The 17,130-nt window shown below is 51.2% G+C and overlaps 1 protein-coding gene and 1 non-coding gene across 6 annotated transcripts in view, besides 3 other annotated features; one reads left to right on the plus strand and one right to left on the minus strand.

The window, feature by feature from the left end:
• The window catches only part of RILPL1 (Rab interacting lysosomal protein like 1), a 63,666-nt gene extending 50,354 nt beyond the window's left edge, over window positions 1-13,312 (minus strand). For 4 of the 5 annotated variants that reach the window (NM_178314.5, NM_001319243.2, XM_047428787.1 and 1 more), the window contains exons 1-2: window positions 12,767-13,312; window positions 3,088-3,238 (exon numbers count right to left, since the gene is read on the minus strand). In NM_178314.5, the coding sequence (NP_847884.2) occupies window positions 3,088-3,238; window positions 12,767-13,075 (460 nt within the window). In that variant the 5' untranslated portion in view covers window positions 13,076-13,312. Of the gene's footprint in view, window positions 1-3,087; window positions 3,239-3,620; window positions 4,552-12,766 lie in introns of those variants that run through there. The other variant, NM_001319302.2, reaches the window with a different exon arrangement.
• Window positions 12,313-13,130: an enhancer, noted in NCBI's record as "H3K27ac-H3K4me1 hESC enhancer chr12:124017267-124018084 (GRCh37/hg19 assembly coordinates)". NCBI's record gives its function as "activates a minimal SCP1, AML or CMV promoter by ChIP-STARR-seq in naive H9 embryonic stem cells {active_cell/tissue: H9 hESC(naive)}" and the evidence as "EXISTENCE:reporter gene assay evidence [ECO:0000049][PMID:30033119]".
• Window positions 13,346-14,035: a silencer, noted in NCBI's record as "silent region_5046". NCBI's record gives its function as "represses an Ori minimal core promoter by ATAC-STARR-seq in GM12878 lymphoblastoid cells {active_cell/tissue: GM12878}" and the evidence as "EXISTENCE:reporter gene assay evidence [ECO:0000049][PMID:35858748]".
• Window positions 14,055-14,240: a silencer, noted in NCBI's record as "fragment chr12:124019009-124019194 (GRCh37/hg19 assembly coordinates)". NCBI's record gives its function as "represses an EF-1alpha promoter that drives an FKBP-Casp9 reporter gene in an ReSE screen in phorbol 12-myristate 13-acetate-treated (for megakaryocytic differentiation) K562 erythroleukemia cells {active_cell/tissue: K562(+PMA)}" and the evidence as "EXISTENCE:reporter gene assay evidence [ECO:0000049][PMID:32094911]".
• Window positions 16,002-16,127, plus strand: MIR3908 (microRNA 3908). Its single transcript, NR_037470.1, has one exon. It is a non-coding gene; the product is annotated as a microRNA 3908 (primary transcript).
• Window positions 16,128-17,130: the final 1,003 nt, after the last annotated feature.

Consider the following 17,130-nt stretch of genomic DNA (forward strand, 5'->3'; position numbering starts at 1 on the left):
TATTAGATGGACGTGGTGGCACACACCTGTAGTCGTAGCTACTTGGGAGGCTGAGGCAGGAGGATCACTTGAACCTGGGAGGTGGAGGTTGCAGTGAGCCAAGATTGCGCCACTGCATTACAGCCTGGTCGACGGAGTGAGACTCCGTCTCAAAACAAACAAACAAACAAACAAACAAACAAAAAAGTCCTCCTTCTTGGGCTGAAGGAAATTGGGATAGGGTTCCGGGGTCCTCCAGGCCCAGGCTTACTTTGCTGCTAGAAAACTTTCTAATGTCCAAGTCACCGCGGCAGGGAGACGCAAGCCCCAGAATGTGCCTCCCTGCCCTGCCTCCAACCTGGCAAAGCCCAGAACAGGGACAGAGTGGGCACTCCATCAGAGATAAGGGAGACAAAGGGTGAGCAAAGGAATGCATGGCAGGCCTCTGTCTGGAATCGTAAGCTCTTGGGCAGTGGAACACCACGGCGGATCAATCCATGGTGCGCGTGATTTCAGTCTCCCCACCAGCCTTAACCACAGGGTCTCCAGCAGCCCTGGGTCAAAGGGTCCCAGAGAGACAGAAGCCTTCCTTCAGGGAGCTGATTTCAGCTGATCTGGGTTCACTTCTGACTCTGCCACTAACTTGCTGTGTGACCTTGAACAAATCACTCTCCCTCTCTCAGTCTAAACTTTTCTCATCTGTTCAATCAGTAGGTTGGACTGGATAATGATAACCCGTAGTAATAAGAGCTAATACTTGCTGAGTGTTTTCTACGAACCAGGTAAGATTCTAAGCGGTCTGTACAGATTCATTGATTTTACCCTCATGACAAGCTTATGAGGGAGGTATGGTCATTTCTTCCATTTTTACATGGGGGTGCAACTTAGGCACATGAAGGTCACGTGACTTGATCAAAGTCACATAGCAGGGAGGTTTCAGGGTCAGGACTCAAACCTGGGCCGCCTGGCTCCAGAAACTGCTTAGAATCATGAGAACTTTTGTTTTCATTGTTACTAATCAAATCTCAACAAAGGAAATCCAAGGAAAAGAGAATCCAGACCTGGATCAAACTTTTCCTTTTTCCTTGGTTCCCACAGTCCTTTTCAGTGCCATATATGTTTTTATAAATTTATATATATATATAAATATATGTATATATATGTGTGTATATATATTAATATATATACACACATATGTGTATATATATATTAATATATATACACACATATGTGTATATATATACACACATATGTGTATATATATACACATATATGTATATATATAAATATATATATATACACACATATATGTATATATATATAAATATATATATACACACATATATGTATATATATAAAAATATATATATACACACATATATGTGTATATATACTTTTTTTTTTGAGACATAGTCTTGCTCTGTCGCCCAGGCTGGAGTGCAGTGCTGCGATCTCAGCTCACTGCAACCTCCATCTCCTGGGTTCAAGCGAATCTCCTGCCTCAGCCTCCTGAGTAGCTGGGACTCTACAGGCGCCCGCCTCCAGGCCTAGTTAATTTTTGTATTTTTCGTAGAGACGGGGTTTCATCACGTTGGCCAGGCCTCAAACTCCTGACCTCAAATGATCCACCTGCCTTGGCCTCCCAAAGTGCTGGGATTACAGGCGTGAGCCACTGTGCCTGGCCTTTAGTGCCATACTTGATTCTGCAGAGAGGTCACCACACATTCTGAAGTTGGGCACCCACCCCAGGTCCGTCCCCGTTCCATCAAACATGAGGAAGAGGCTCATGTGGGGAGCTAAGGAGTTTCTCAGAAGTATTGACTCTGAGCTTTCCTTGGGGTGAGCTGCAGGAGGCACCCCTGCTTTAGCGGGCAGGAAGCTGCAGGGCTGAGCAGAGCAGATGCCGCCCACAGCCCCGCCTGGCCCGAATCTTGCGGCCCATTTGTCCTTTTCCCAGCACCAGCAGAGGCCCTGCATGAAGGTTCTAAACAAGTGCTTATTGGATAAGTGACAGTTCAGGGGCTCCAGTGCCATTCAGGTCTGGGATGCCATCCCGGGCTGCTCACTGGTAAGCGTTTGCCTGTGATAAGAGCCTCCAATCTCTTCCCAGCACACTTAGAATAAAATCCAAACCTCAGCCTCTAAGGAGCTACATGAACTGACCCCTGTGACCTCATTTCCAGCCTCCTGAGGCCTCAATCATCTTCTGACACACTAGCCTTCTTTATTTTTTTCATCTTACTGTCGCTCAGGCTGTAGCGCAGTGGTATGATCTCAGCTCACTGTGGCCTCGACCTCCTGGGCTCAAGTGATCCTCCCGCCTCAGCCTTCAAGTAGCTCAGACTACAGGTGTGCACCACTGCACCTGGCTTATTTTTAAAAAAATCGTTAGTAGAGACGGGGTCTATGTTGCCCAGGCTGGTCTCAAACTCCTGGCTCCAAGTGATCTTCCTGCTTCAGCCTCCCAAAGTGCTGGGATCACAGGTGTGAGCCACTGCGCGCGGCCTACACCGGCCTTCTTGGTTTCCCCCAAATGCTCATGTCCCAGGGCCTTTGCATGACTGCCCCTGCAACCCCCGACCCAACAAATGCAGATATTTGCGTGGCTCACTCTGTTACTTCATTAGGGTTCAAATGTGACCTCCTCGAAGGCCTTCCCTGATGACTGTATCCAAAGATGTCCCTACCAAGTCACTCTATCACATGCCCCACTGCCGCTCTCCCAGAGCACGGCCGCCCCCTGGAACTATGGTGTCTGTGTGTTTACATGTTAAGCCCCTTTCTCCTCTGCACAGCACACAAGCTTCCCAAGGGCAGGGTCTCTGTCACGTTTAACACATATCCCAGGGCCAAGAGAGGAGCCTGACAAACAGAGGGGAACCTGTGACAGTTTGCTGAAAGGACCTCTGTGTTACCATCTGTAAACTGAGGCTACGTGATGTTTCTCTGGCAGGGTTATGGTGCAAATCAACACAATACAGAAGGCAAAGGGCTTTGGGAATCAGCCAGCACCGCATCAGCGTCCAGGGGTGGTGGCGACAATCGCTGATGTGGGCAATAAGAAAAGGAATGGCCGGCCCCCTTGCATTGGCGCCGACCCCCACTTACCTTCATGCTTCTGGAACTCCTCCTCTGAGAAATTGACATCCTTGTGGGAGAGGTTGGTCATGAGCTGCTTGTTCTCCTCCTGCAGCTGGGCGATCTGGGAGAGGAGGTCCTGCGCCTCCCCTCGCCACACATCCTCCACCAGCTCCAGCTCCTGCCAAGGCAAGGGGACAGCATGGGGTCACTGCCTGCCCAGAGCAGCCGCCCCACCCACTCCGACCCTCAGGGGCAGCTTGGGTTGCTGGGACTTTGGGCCATCCCCTTCCTCGTGAGAACTGGGCCGGCAAGGCCACCACGAGTCCCATATGGCACCTCTGCAAGAAACAGAAGCCACCCTTCTTTGGGGCAGATGCCTGCGTTTATGCTGTTAGGACCTGGCTCAGTTAGAACTGCCCCCAAGGACAACCACAAAGCTAATGCCGCATCTTGGAGCTCTCTTCAGAGTAGACAGAGCAGCCCCAGGATACGGGGGTCCGAACGTTCCTAACCTCTGGGGGGCACACCCCCTGATCTCTGGACAGACAGTTGGGACAAACCTTTCTCCAAGGGAGCCAGAGGCCTCGAGAATCCTGGGGATGCCGAGGCAGACGGGGCCCCCTGCCCCAGCGTTCCTTAGGTATCTGATCCAGGTATCTCTCCATGGGGTCTTCAACCACTGACTCGATCACCCTGAGCCTCAGTTTCCCTCAGTGGTGGAACCAAAACAAAGGCTCACGAAGTGAATGTGAGGATAAATAAAATCAGTCTATTAAAGTTATTTTGTGGGTGGCTGCAGTCAAAGAAATAGCCAATAACAAGTGCTGACAAGGATAGGAAGAAACTGGAACCCTCCTACACTGCTGGTGGGAATGGAAAATGCTGCGGACATTTTGGAAAACACTCTGGCAGTTTCGCAAAAACATTAACACAGAGTTACCATAGGACCCAGCAACTCCAGTCCTTGGATCGGCTCAAGAGGTATGAACACAATGTCCACATGAAAACGCGTGCAGGTGAATGTTCCTCGCAGCATTATTCCCAGTACCCAAAAGGAGCCAAGTGTCCATCAGCTGATGAATGGGTAAATAAACATGGCACATCCATACAATGGAACATTATTCGGCCATGAAAAGGAATGAAAGCCTGACATATGCTACAACATAGGTGGACCCTGAAAACATTATGGAAAGAAGCCAGACACAAAAGGTCACATGTTATATGATCAGTTTTACAAAATGTCTAATATTGGCAAATCCATAGAGATAGGAAGCAGACGGGTGGTTGTCTAGAGCCAGAGTGCTAGAGGGGAGACGAGGAATGACTGGGAATAGGTACGGAGTTTCTTTTGGGGGGTGATGAAAATGTTCTAAGATTGATAGTGGCAGGGCGTGGTGGCTCACGCCTGGAATCCCAGCACTTGGGAGGCCAAGGCAGGCGGATCACTTGAGGTCAGAAGTCCATGACCAGCCTGGCCAACATGGCGAAACCCCATCTCTACTAAAAATACAAAAATTAGCTGGGTGTGGTGGTGGGCACCTGTAATCCCAGCTACTCGGGAGGCTGAGGCAGGAGAATTACTTGAAGCTGGGAAGCGGAGTTTGCAGTGAGTCAAGATTATGCTACTGCACTCCAGCCTGGGTGACAGAGTGAGACTCTGTCTTGGAAAAAATAATAATAATAAATAAAATAAAATTGATGGTGATCATAATGACGGCTGCAAAACTCTAAAAACCACTGAAGTGTACATCTTATTTATTTATTTTTAGAGACAGGGTCTTGTTCTGTCACCCAGGCTGGAGTGCAGTGACACAGTTATAGCTCATTGCAGCCTTGAACTCCTGGGCTCAAGTGATCCTCCCACCTCAGCCTCCCAGTAGCTGGGACTACAGGCAGACGCCACCATGACTGGCTAATTTTTTTTTTTTTTTTTAGAGATGGGGTATTGCTGGCTGAGTGTGGTGGATCATGCCTGTAACCTCAGCACTTTGGGAGGCCGAGGTGGGCAGATCACTTGAGGTCAGGAGTTCGAGACCAGCCTGACCAATATGGTGAAACCCTGTCTCTACTAAAAATACAAAAAATTAGCCGGGTGTGGTGGCAGACACCTGTAATCCCAGCTACTCAGGAGGCTGAGGCAGGAGAACTGCTTGAATCTCAGAGGTGGAGGTTGTGGTGAGCTGGGATTGTACCACTGCACTCCAGCCTGGGTGACAGAGTGAGACACTGTCTCAAAAAAAAAAAAAAAAAAAAAAAAGAAACAAATGGGGTATTGCTATGTTGCCCAGGCTTGTCTCAACCTCCAGGGCTCAAGCAATCTTCCCACCTTGGCCTCCCAAAGTGCTGGGAGTACAGGCGTGAGCCACCGTGCCCAGCCAGAAGTGTACACTTTAAATGAGTGTTATGGTATCTGAATTATATTGATAAAGCTGGTAGCCCTCCACCCCCGCAAAAAACAAACAAACAAACAAACAAACAAAAAAACGGTACTTGGTAAAACCGTAAGCTAGCTCACAAAGCAGGGTTGCTGTTGTCTGTATAAAACAGTGGTTTAAGGGCCAGGCGCAGTGGCTCACACCTGTAATCCTGGCACCTTGGGAGGCCAAGGCAGGCGGATCACTTGAGGTCAGGAGTTTGAGACCAGCCTGGCCAGCATGGCAAAACCCCGTCTCTACTGAAAATACAAAAATTAGCCGGGCATGGTGGTGGGCACCTGTAATCCCCGCTACTTGGGAAGCTGAGCCAGGAGAACTGCTTGAACCTGAGAGGCAGAGGCTGTAGTGAGCCGAGATCAAGCCACTGCACTCCAGCCTGGGGCACAGAATGAGACTCCATGTCAAAAAATAAAATTAAAATAAAATAAATAAAAAATAAAATAAAATAGTGGTTCAAGGCATGGACACTGGAGCCTGCCGCCCTAAGTCTGAATCCTGTTTCTGCTGCTTACTAGCTGACCTTGGCGAGTTATTCAGCCTTCTGGTGCCCCACAAATGAGGAAACTAGTGTGGTATCTGCCGGGAAGGGTGGGTGTGAGGATTAAATGGTTACTATAAGTAAAGCGCCTGGAATATGCCCGGCACCCAGAAAGCACTAACAATGTGTGTGCTGATCTCTGTCCCATCCCTACAATTCATCACAAGCGGCCAGGTGGCCGGATGCTAGGCATGGCCTCTGTCCATCTTCTAAATAAGTTCTCAGACCCACCTCCTTTGTCAGAAGCCTGCTGCATTGGGGAAGAGAGGAGTAATAGCCTAGTATTTGCACAGAGGGCGCAAGGTCACCAGGGGAGGTGAAGGGCAGGGCCGGGGTGGAAGTGGTGGTGGAGGGATGGAGAGGGAATGTTGACCTCCCATAAGCAGATGGGGCCTGGAAGCAGAAAGAGGCTCATCCAGCCCTGTTCCTCTCTGTTTCCAATTGGCATAGGCTGGGCTCACACGGGGCTCAGAGAATATCAGTCAAGTGTAACTGGCTGGGGCAGGGAGAATAATGGCTCTTAAAGTCATCCAAGTCCTAATCCCTGAGAATATGTTACCTTACATGGCAAAAGGGACTGTGCAGAGATGATTAAGTTAAGGATCTTAGGCATGGCACGGTGGCTCATACCTATAATCCTTGTAATTTAGGAGGCTGAGGTGGGAGCATTGATTTAGGCTAGGAGTTTGAGAACAGCCTGGGCAACATGGCAAAACTCTGTCTCTATAAAAAATACAAAAATTAGCTGGGCGTGGTAGTGCATGCCTGTAGTACCAGCTACTTGGGAGGCTGAGGTGGGAGGATCACTTGAGCCCCGGAGGTTGAGGCTGCAGTGAGCTGTGATTGCACCACAGCACTCCAGCCTGGGTGACAGAGCAAGACCCCAACTTTTTTTTTTTATAAAAAAGGCTCTTGAGGCTGGGCATGATGGCTTACGCCTATAATCACAGCAATTTGGGAGGCCAAGGCAGGAGGATCACTTGAGGTCAGGAGTTCGAGACCAGCCTGGACAACACAGCAAAACTCTGTCTACTAAAAATACAAAAATTAGCTGGGCATGGTGGCGTGCACCTGAAATCCTAGCTACTCAGCAGGCTGAGGCATGAGAATCACTTGAACCTGGGAGGCAGAGGTTACAGTGAGCTGAGGGAAGCAGAGGTTGCAGTGAGCCGAGATCATGCCACTGCACTCCAGCCTGGGTGACAGACTGAAACTGTGTCTCAAAAAAAAGAGCTTGTGAGATGGGGAGATGATTCTGGATTATCTGGCTGGATTATCTGGTGGGCCGATGTCATGCCAGGGTCTTCGTAAGAGGAAGGCAGGTCAGCGTTAGAGGAATATGAGGGAGATGGGAAGAAGCTACGCTGCTGGCTTTGAAGATGGAGGAAGGGGCCACAAGCCAGGGAATGCAGAGTCCATAAGTTGGGGAAGGCAAAGAAATGGATCCTCCTCCACAGCCCCCCAAAGGAGTGGAGCCTTCCCAACACCTTGATTTGAACTCAGTGAGAGCCATTTCCGACTTCTGACGTCCGGAAATTTCTCCAGTATTATTTATATTGATAATTACACATATGCCTCCATAATACTGTATGACATTGTATCCATAATATTGGATTATCCAGTTCAATAAGACAATACATTTCTGGCCAGGCATGGTGGGTCACGCCTGTAATTCTAGTACTTTGGGAGGCTGAGGCAGGAGAATCACTTGAGCCCAGGAGTCTGCAGCCAGCCTGGGCAACATGGCAAGACCCCATCTCTGCTAAAAATTAAGCTGGGTGTGGTGGCACATGCCTGCAGTTGAGCTACTTGGGAAGCTGAGGCGGGAGGATTGCTTGAGCCCAGGAGGCTGAAGCTGCAGTGAGCCAATGGTCACGCACGGCACGCCAGCCTGGGCAACAGAGTGAGATGCTGTCTCAAAAAAAAAAAAAAGATAACACATTTCTGCTGTTTTGAGCCACTAAGTTTGTGTTGATTTTTTTGTTGTTGTTTGTTTTTTTTTTTTGAGACGGAGTCTCACTCTGTCACCCAGGCTGGAGTGCAGTGGTGCGATCTCGGCTCACTGCAAGCTCCGCCTCCCGGGTTCATGCCATTCTCCTGCCTCAGCCTCCGAAGTAGCTGGGACCACAGGCGCCCGCCACCACGCCCGGCTAATTTTTTGTATTTTTAGTAGAGACGGGGTTTCACCGTGTTAGCCAGGATGGTCTCGATCTCCTGACCTTGTGATCCGCCCGCTTCAGCCTCCAAAGTGCTGGGATTACAGGCTTGAGCCACCGCGCCCGACCAGTTTGTGTTGATTTGTTACAGCAGCCACAGGGAATGAATACAGACTTTAACCCTAAATTCTTTTTTTTTCTTCTCTCAACGAACTGAAGTTGATGCTGGGGTTGCTGATTCTCGCCTCTGAGTTGACCACTCAGAATCTCATGCTGCCTCCATACCAGCCCAGTGGTTCTCCGGAGAAGTCAGCCCTGATCAATCATCTCCTTCACGTTCTTCCCTCAGCACCAAGAGTCCTCAAATTCCTCATCTGAGCCTACAAGCCCCGGCACCTTCCTGATTCATCTCCCAGTCCTCTTCCTCACTTGCTCTGCTCCAGCCACACCGACTCTGTGTTCTTTGAACATGCCAAGTGCATTCCTACCTCAGGACCTTTGCACTAGCCACGTCTTCTGCCTAGAATGCCTCTCCCCCAGATCAATCTGTGGCTGGATCCTATCCTTCATTCAGATCTCAGCTCAGATGTCACCTCCTCAGGGAAGACTTCCTGACTGCCCCATCTGTTAGACTACCACCCTAGTCAGTCTCTTTCATGTCTCCCAGTTTTATTTTCTTTATGGCACTTATTATAAGCTGATTTTTTTTTTCTGAGACAAAGTCTCGCTCTGTTGCTCAGGCTGGAGTGCAGTGATATGATCTCGGCTCAACGCAACCTTCACCTCCCAGGTTCAAGCGATTCTCCTGCCTCTGCCTCCTGAGGCGTGCGCCACCACACCCAGCTAATTTTTGTATTTTTAGTAGGGATGAGGTTTTGCCATGTTGGCCAGGATGGTCTTGACCTCCTGACCTCAAGTGATCCAGCTGCCTCGGCCTCCCAAAGTGCTGGGATTACAGGTGTGAAACACTGTGCCCAGCCTGAATTTTTTTTTTTTTTTTAATCTATCCTGGCTAAGCACAGTGGATCAAACCTGTAGTCCCAGCACTTTGGGAGGACAAGACAGGAGGACTGCTTGAGCCCAAAAGCTCAAGACTAGCCTGGGCAACATAGTGACACCTTGTCTCTAAAGGAAAAAAAAATTACAGTGTGCCTGTAGTCTTAGCTACTCAGGAGGCTGAGGCAGGAGGATCACTTGAATCCAGGTGTTCAGGGCTGCAGGGAGCCGTGATGCCATCATTGCTCTCTGGCCTGGATGACAGAGTACGTCCCTGACTCAAAAAAAAAAAAAAGGAGAAAAAAAATCTCTATCTCTTCCTCATGCTAGAATAATTGCACCATCCCATGGAAAGTCAGTAGCCACACGTGGCTGTTGAGCATTTGACATGTGGCTGGTCTGAGTGGAAATGTGCAGCAGGGGTTAAAGACACACCAGATTTCAAAGATGTAGTAGGAAAAAAAGAGTGCAGAATATCAAATGATAAGTTTTTATACTGATTACATGTTGAAATGAAAATATTTTGGATCTACTGGGTCCCATAAGATATATTAAAATTAACCTCACTGGTTTGTTGTTGTTGTTGTTTTTGAGACAGAGTCTCACTCTGTCACCCAGGCTGGAGTGCAATGGTGTGATTTCGACTCGCTGCAATCTCTGCCTCCCGGGTTCAAGCGATTCTCCTGCCTCAGCTTCCTGAATAGCTGGGATTATAGGCACTCGCCACCATGCCCGGCTAATTTTTGTATTTTTAGTAGAAATGGGGTTTTGCCATATTGGCCAAGCTGGTCTTGAATTCCTGACCTCAAGTGATCCACCCGCCTTGGCCCCCCAAAAGTGCTGGGATTACAGGTGTGAGCCACCGCGCCCAGCCAACTTCACTGTTTTTTATTAACATGGCAAAGCTGCATAATATTTCTATGGTATAGCACTACACTAAAAAGTCAGGCTCATCAGGGCCAAGGCCTCATCTGTCATGGTCATTACTGTCTTCCCAGTGCCCAGAACAATGCATGGCACACAGTAGGTTCTCAGTAAATATATTCGCTGAATGAGTGAATGAATAGCATAGTCTGGTATGTTACACGCGAGTGTATCAGCCCAGCCATTGCTTTCTAGAATTTATTTGTGTTTTCCCTTTCTTCCCTGTTACCCGCCTGCTGCCTGACATGAGACTTTGCTTTTCTCTGCAGAGCCATGGTACCAAGAAGGGCACTGTGCTCGCTATGGCCTGTCATCAGAGTTGCAGACTGAGTAATGAGACAGAACATGACACAACTGTGGCCTGCATCTGAGTGATGAGTGGAAGTGAGTGAGTGGGTCTACTGAGAGGAGGAGTAGGGGGAAGAAAGTGTATGTCCTTTACTGGAGCCATAATTGCTGAAAGCGAGAGAGACAAGGAAGAAGGGGTAGGGAAGAAGAGGGGAAAGGGAAGAGGAATGGAGGTGGACAGACTAAACCAGGACATGCCAAAAACATTTTTGTGGAAATATCACCTTGAAGAGCCTTTGAGACTCTGCAGGAAAAAAAAAAAAAAATCATACAAGTCTCTCTCCATCCCAAGAATGTGAAGTAAACGGGTCTGGGGCTGGGGTGGGAAAAGAATTGCATCCTTGATTTAGAGAGGTCATCCTCAATGTAAGTCAACAAGCCCTGGCCCTGAGCGCACGGTGTTCACTTCCCAGCTGAACACTTTCCAGAGGCAACAAGTGCAGCTGCTGACAATTCCATGTGACTTCAGACCTGGTGGCCTCCGATGGCTTCCAAGGATTTCTCCCAGCTCCCCCGCAACAGAACTAAAGAGCCCCAGTTGGGGGACAGTATAGGTGCCAGGACTTCTGTGTGATCTGGTCAAAGCCCCTTGGTCCCTGTTAATAAGAGGCGCCACACGAGAGAATTTCCAAGGTCCCTTGCCTCCTTGACCCTCTATGAGAGATGGAGGCCTCTAGGGTAGGAGTAGAGGTGCTTGGGGTGGGGACGGTTTCCTAATATGAGCCTGTGAGCACCTCAATGAATGTCTCTCCAGGCCTAAAAAGAATTTTAAGACTTGCAAAGCCCTTGCTATGGGCAGGCTCTGTCCTGAACACTTTATATGTATTTATATTAACTCTTTAAACCTCATCACATTCTAATGGGGGTACTATTACTATCCCATTTTAGAACTGAGGAAACTGAAGCACAGAGATGCTGGGTGATTTGCCCAAGATCACACAGCCTGCAAGTGGTAGGGTTTGAAACCAGGCTGTCTAGCTCCAAAGTCCTAGCTTCTAGGAGTCTTGAAATTAATTACAGGTCAAAGCATTTTCAGGCTCCCAGAGTGACCTCGGAAATGCTGCTCAACTCTTGGGAGCCTGAGTTTCCTTCCTGCCCCTAGGGCATAGGGACCCATGAGGACGAGCACAGTCAAACATGGCAATGGTGCTGTTACCTACCTGTGGGTCTGCCCTCAGGTAAAGGGTTCAGACCCAGCTTTGGCTATTTTACTCCAAAACACAGAGATCCATCAAAGTACACAATAAGGGATGGCCTGCCCCTGAGGTTCAGAGAGGCCATCTGTATTTCCTGAGGCTGAACAGCAAGCTGGAGACTGCTCAGGCACCCTGATCCCTCAAGGAAAGGTGTTTCCTCCCATTCTCAGTCTGAAGGGGCTGCCAAGAGCATCCCTGGCTGAGGTTAGGGCAGGAAACCACATGTCTTTCACTTCCTTTTCTCCAGAAACCTCGTCTGAACTCCAGGCCCAGTGGGGAGGCCCTGATTCAGAGAGACTCCTGATCACAGGGCAGAGGCTTAGCCTTAAAGCCACCCCAAATCATCCCTTTCCCCCAATTCAAACAGGGTGGGGAGGAGACACGGGGGCTGGGACTCTCTCACCACTAATTTGGGACAAATTGCTCCTCCCACTGTGACCCTCGGTTTCTTTATCTGTAAAATGAAGATAGTCTCTATAGAGTCCTGTGAGGATTAAGGATAAAATCAGAGGAGAGAACACGGGCTACCACAGGTTCATAAGCTAGGGGAGTCCCGGGAAGAAAGTTGCAAATATGAACCCGAAGACTAGGGGTCACGAAGCTCAGTGGCTGGAGGTCACATTCCCTTTGCTCTGGGGAGACTGGGGGGGGGGGGGATGAAGAAAGGGTCCTGGGCCTGATGTCACATCTTCTTGGTAACTCGGGAGGCCAAGAGGCTTATTTCATGTCTGGAAGAGAATAATATGTCTAAGCACTTAGCTTATATGGTCCCATTTAATTCTTCTAAGGTGGGTCCTATTATGATTACCATTTGACAGGTGAGGAAATAAAGCACAGAGAGGTTAAGTAACTTACCTAAAGTCACACAGCTATTAAACGGTAAAGGTGGGATTGGAACTCCAGAGAACAGCTCTTAATCTCTCGGGTGGTATCTGCCAGCCACCCCTGGTCGGGCAAAAGAAGGCCAGGGCCTCCCTCCCTCCCCACGTCGGGTCTCCTCTGGTCCGGTCCCTGAACACACACACGTGCGCACCCACAGCTGCCCAATGCGGAAGAGCCCTTGGGTCCCCGCGGTCCCACTGCCCGGACGGACAGACCGAGGCCGCCGCCCACCTTCTGGTGCTTGCGCTCCTTCTCGATGCGGTCCATCCTCTCCAGGCGCAGGCGGTCCAGCTCCAGGCGCAGCTCGTCCAGCTCGGGCGCGACGTGGTGGCGGCTGACCAGCACCTCCAGGATCTCCAGGACGCGCACGACCTTGGGCATGAGGCGCGCGATGGCCTCGCAGCCGTGCTGGTCAATGACCCGCTCGAACTCGTGGCCCACAAGCGACGCGATGTCGTACACGTCCATGACGGTCAGCTCGGCCACGTTCTTCTCCAGCGCCGACTCGGCCGCCAGCGCCGACCCCCGCTCCTCCTCCATGGCCACCCTCCTGGCCTGTCCCCCGCCCCGCAAACTCGTGCAACTCCCAAACTTGCCGCTGTCGAGGGCCGGGCCGGCCGGGCCCAGCCTGGGCCGCGGGCGGGCGCGCTCAGCGGGCGCTGGGGCGAGGGCGCAGCGGGCAGCGGGCGGCGGGCGCGGGCGCGGGCACGGGCGGCGGCGCGGGGTGTGCGGGCCCGGGGTCTGGGCGCCCGGCTCGGCCCGGAGCTGCTCCCGAGTGGGCGGCGGCGGCGGCGGCGGCGGCGGCGGCAGCGGGGAGGGCGCGCGCGTGCGCAGGCCCGCGGCGCCTCCCAAGTTGGGATCCGAGTTGCGCTCAATGGAGCCGGGCCGGGCGCCTCGGGGCGGTGCGGGCCTGAGGGGCGGCAGAGCGCGGGGCCGGAGAGGAAGGGCGGCCCGCGGCTCCTCCGGGAAACTTTGGCGGCGGCGGCTGCGAGGCCGGGTGATCGCTTCCCCACAGGGAGGCCGCGCGCCCCGCCCCAATCCCGGCCTGGCCAGGGGCGCGCCCGCTTTCCGCCGCCCGGGGGCGCCCCGGGGTACCCCCCCAAGCGCCGACTCCGCGGCCTGCACTCCGGGCCCCCCTCTCCAGCCGCCGGACCCGCGGCGCCCCTCACCCGTGCCCCGGCCGCCCCTCCCCCGCCCGGCGCTGACTCCTCCCACCACCCGGCCGCCGGGAGGGGTCCAGGCCGCCCCGGGAGAGGGGGCCGGGGGCGCTGGTCTCGCGGGACGATTCGCTGCTCCGGGTAGCGGCCCCGGCCTTGGAGAGGGATGGAGGGGTCACGAGGAGGTCCCCGGGCTGGGGCTCATCCCAGGAAGAGAACGGGGACCCCCCCCGGCCCGCAGACACTCCGCGCAGACCCGGCCACCAGGCGGACTTGCAGAGGCGCCCGGAGAGGGGCCGACGTGTCGAGGAATGCTGGATCCCCGGAGCCCCAGGGCGCGCCTCCCCGAGCCACATCCATCACTGGCTCCTTGTGACATGAACGCCACTTCACAGTAGAGCGAAGCCCGCTTGGCATTCCAGCACCACGAGTTCTCTTGTCCCAAGGCCCCCTGTCCATTTGGGCTGGCCAAATCCACTTGTCCATCAGACCCCCTCCCACTCCCGGGAGAACGTTTCCTGAACCCAGAACCCCATCCACCCTCCCCGCCCCCCACGCAGGAGTTAAGGACCCCCTTGCAAACTCACAGTCCCCTGCTTGCCCCATCAGGATTGCTCTTAGCATCCTGAGTTTTCACCGTGTGGTTGCAGGTAGGTTTCCACCGTCAGATCTTGGCTCCTTGAGGGAAGAAATCTTAATGCCCTTGTAGCCATAAAGCGCACCCCAACGTGGCACGTATTGATTAAAAATCTAAAAGTTGGCCGGGCGCGGTGGCTCACGCCTGTAATCCCAGCACTTTGGGAGACTGAGGTGGACGAGGTCAGGAGTTCAAGACCAGCCTAGCCAAGGTGGTGAAACCCCGTCTCTACTAAAAATACAAAAATTAGCCGGGCATGGTGGCGCATGCCTGTAATCCCAGCTACTCAGGAGGCTGAGGCAGAGAGTTGCTTAAACCCGGGAGGCGGAGGTTGCAGCAAGCCGAAATCGCGCCACTGCACTGCAGGCTGGGTGACAGAGCAAGACTCCATCTCAAAATAATAATATAATACAATAAATAAATAAATAAATAGTAAAAAAAAAAAAATTAAGGCCAGGCGGGGTGGCTCACGCCTGTAATCCCAGCACTTTGGGAGGCCGAGGTGGGAAAATTTCTAGAGCTCAGGAGTTCGAGACCAGCCTGGCCAACATGGTGAAACCACGCCTCTACTAAAAATACAAAAATTAGCCAGACATGGTGGCATGTGCCTGTAATCCCAGCTACTCAAGAGGCTGAGGCGCGAGAATCATTTGAGCCTGGGAGGCAGAGGTTGCAGTGAGCCAAGATCGTGCCACTGCACTCCAGCTTGGGCAACAAGAGCGAAACTCCGTCTCAAAAAAAAAAAAGAAAAAAAAAAAAGTAAAATAAAAAAATTAGCCAGACGTGGTGGTGAGAGCCTGTAGTCCCAGGTATTTGGGAGGCTGAGGTGGGAAGATCCCTTGAGCCTGGGAGGCAGAGGTTGCAGTGAGTTGAGATCACACCACTATGCTCCAAACTGGGCGACAGAGCGAAACTCTGTCTCAGAAAAATAAAAAATAAAAATAAATACTCCTGGCCACAGTGGCTCATGCTTGTAATCCTAGCACTTTGGGAGGCCAGGGCTGGAGGATCACTTGAGCCCAAGATTTCGAGACCAGCCTGGGCAGCATGGCAAAACCCCGTCTCTATTTAAAAAAAAGTCTGGTTGCAGTGACTTATGCCTGTAATCCCAGCACTTTGGGAGGCCAAGGGGGGCAGATCAGTTGAGGTCAGGAGTTCAAGATCAGCCTGGCCAACATGGTGAAACCTCATCTCTACTAAAAATACAAAAAAAAAAAAAAATTAGCCAGGCGTGGTGGCAGGCGCCTGTAATCCCAGCTACTCAGGAGGCTGAGGCAGGAGGATCACTTGAACCCGGGAGGCAGAGGTTGCAGTGAGCTGAGATCGAGATCGTGCCACTGCACTCCAGCCTGGGTGACAAAGCGAGACTCTGTCTCAAAATAAATAAATAAATAAATTAATTAATTAATTAAATAAAAATTACCCGACTCTGGTGGCAAGTGCCTGTAGTCCCAGCTACTCGGGAGACTGAGGTGGAAGGATGACTTGAGTCCCAGGGAGCAGAGGTTGCAGTGAGCTGTGATTACACCACTGCACTCCAACCTGGGTGACATAGGGAGACCCTGTCTCAAAAACAACAAAAAAACTCATACGTTATCTAGCACGGTGGCGTGAGCCTGTAGTTCCAGCTACTCCAGTGGGAGGATCCCTTGAGTTCAAGAGTTCTAGTCTAGCCTGAGCAATGTAGGTAGACTGTTTCTAAAAAAATAAAAAGTTAAAAAAATTTATGTTAACGTGTAATGTGTTTACTAATTTTTTTTTTTTTTTTTGGAGACAGAGTCTCCCTCTGTCGCCAGGCTAGAGTGCAGTGGCTCGATCTCAGCTCGCTGCAGCTTCGACCTCCCAGGTTCAAGCAATTTCCCTGCCTCAGCCCCCAAGTAGCTAGGATTACAGGCGCATGCCACCATGCCTGGCCGATTTTTTTGTATTTTTAGTAGAGAGGGGGTTTCACCATGTTAGCCAGACTGATCTCGAACTCCTGACCTCAGGCAATCTGCCTGCCTCAGCCTCCCAAAGTGCTGGGATTACAGGCATAAGCCATCCTCCCGGACTATTTTTTAATTAATATTTTTTAAAGCATCAGTTTAAATTTCTTTTCTTTTCTTTTCTTTTTCTTCTTCTTCCCTTCCCTCCCCTCCCCTCCCCTTTCTTTCTTCCTTTCCTTTCCTTTCCTTTCTCTTTCTTTCTTTCTTTCTTTCTTTCTTTCTTTCTTTCTTTCCTTTCTCTCTCTTTCTCTCTCCCTCCCTCCCTCCCTCCCTCCCTCCCTCCCTCCCTCTCTCTCTCTTTCTTTCTTTCTTTCTTTTCAGGGTCTAGTTCTGTTGCCCAAGGTAGTGCAGTGGTGCGATCGTAGCTCACTGCAGCCTCAAACTCCTGGGCTCAAGCGGTCCTCCCACTTCAGCCTCCTGAGTTAGCTGGGATTATAAATTTCTATTTACAGTAGATATGAGCAGATATAACTCACCTAACAAAAGCTCTTTCAAGGCTAGACACAGTGGCTTACGCCTGTAATCCTAGCACTTTGGGAGGCTGAGGTGGGCGGATCACCTCAGATCGGGAGTTTGAGACCAGCCTGCCCAACATGGTGAAATCCTGTCTCTACTAAAAATATAAAAATTAGCCGGTGTGTGGCCCGTGCCTGTAATACGAGCTACTAGGGAGGCTGAGGCACGAGAATTCCTTGAACTCAGGAGACGGAGGTTGCAGTGAGCCAAGGTCATGCCTCTTCACTCCAGCCTGGGCAACAGAGTGAGACTCTGTCTCAAAAAAACAAACAAAAAAAAACAAAAACAAACAAACAAACA

Source organism: Homo sapiens, chromosome 12 (assembly GCF_000001405.40).
Source record: "Homo sapiens chromosome 12, GRCh38.p14 Primary Assembly".
NCBI lineage: Eukaryota > Metazoa > Chordata > Mammalia > Primates > Hominidae > Homo > Homo sapiens.